The sequence below is a fragment of the Homo sapiens genome, chromosome 8, assembly GCF_000001405.40.
Source record: "Homo sapiens chromosome 8, GRCh38.p14 Primary Assembly".
Lineage (NCBI taxonomy): Eukaryota > Metazoa > Chordata > Mammalia > Primates > Hominidae > Homo > Homo sapiens.
Genome location: NC_000008.11, coordinates 29,680,951 through 29,682,371, shown reverse-complemented (window position 1 = coordinate 29,682,371; position 1,421 = coordinate 29,680,951). Strand labels below are relative to the sequence as shown.

The window sequence follows — 1,421 nt, the reverse complement described above, 5'->3', positions numbered from 1 at the left end:
GGAAAATGAAATCAAAAACACAGTGACATATTGTCTTATCCCAGTTAGAAGGGCTATAAATAAAAAGACAGAAAATAACAGATGTTAGCAAGGATGTAGAGAAAACTTTTATACACTATTAATGGGAATGTAAATTAGTATAGCCATCATGGAAGAAAGTATGGAGACTTCTCAAAATACTTCAAATAGAACCACCATTTGATCCTGCAATCCACTAGAGTATTTAGCCAAAGGAAAATAAATCATGGATACCTGTACTTCCATATTCATTGCAGCATTATTCTCAGTAGCCAAGATATGGATTCAACCTGAGAGTCCTTCAGTGGATGAAAAGATAAGGAAAATGTGGTATATATACACAATGGAATACTATTCAACCATGAAAAAGAATGAAATCCTGTCATTTGCAAAAACATTAATGGAAATTGAGGAAATTATGTTAAGTGAAATAAGCCAGACACAGAAAGACAAATTTTGTGTGTTCTCACTCATATGCGAGGGAGCTAAAAAAAGTTGATCTCATTGAAGTGGAGAGTGAAATGATAGATACTTGACACTGGGAATAGTGTGTGGATGGGTGAGGAATGAAGATAAAATGGTTAATGGGTACATACAGTTATATAAAAGGAAAAAGTTCTAATGTTCAATACTAGAGTAGGGTGACTACAGTTAACAACAATGAATTGTATATTTCAAATAGCTAGAAGAGAGGATTTTTAGTGGCCCCAACACATGCAAAAAAAGATAAGTTCTCAAGGTGATGGACATCCTAGATACCATGACTTGGAGATTGCAAACACTATGCATCTCACAAAATACATATGTACCCTCATAAATGTGTACACATATTTGTATCAATAAAAAAAGATAAACAACAAAAAAGAAGTAGCTGAAGGACAGGCTACTACCAGAATATGAGATGTTTAAGGAGCTGGGACTTCATTATGGGCATTGGGGAGACTAGGCTTAAGGACTTTAAGCAGGACAGTGACATGACCAGATGTGGGTTTTGGAAAAGTCACTTGGCCAACAGTATGGGGAGAAGGCCAGGTGGTTGGGGGCAGGGTGGAAGAGACAGAAGGAGAAGATGACACTAAAGGCAGGAGGAAGAGCTTGGAGGCTGTTGTCTTGGCTTTGTTGAGTGACTGTGAGAACCTAAACCAAGGGATGATATTGAAAGGGATAAAGGAGTCAGAGCACAGACACAATCTGAAAGTAGAAGTGGAAGGGTGTGGTGATGGCTTCACACAGAGCAAACAGCAGATGGAAGAGCAGGGGATGACGTCATCCCATCTGTCCTTTGTAAATTGTTTTCTATCTCTTAGGATACCTAGATGTGCATCATTGTTTGGGTTTTTTTCTTTTTTTGGAAGCATCTCAAACTTACAGATAAATTACAAATACAGAACAAGGAATCTTTT

At 37.4% G+C, this 1,421-nt stretch overlaps 1 annotated feature.

Annotated features, from left to right (window-relative positions):
- Positions 1,048 to 1,097: an enhancer, noted in NCBI's record as "active region_27204". NCBI's record gives its function as "activates an Ori minimal core promoter by ATAC-STARR-seq in GM12878 lymphoblastoid cells {active_cell/tissue: GM12878}" and the evidence as "EXISTENCE:reporter gene assay evidence [ECO:0000049][PMID:35858748]".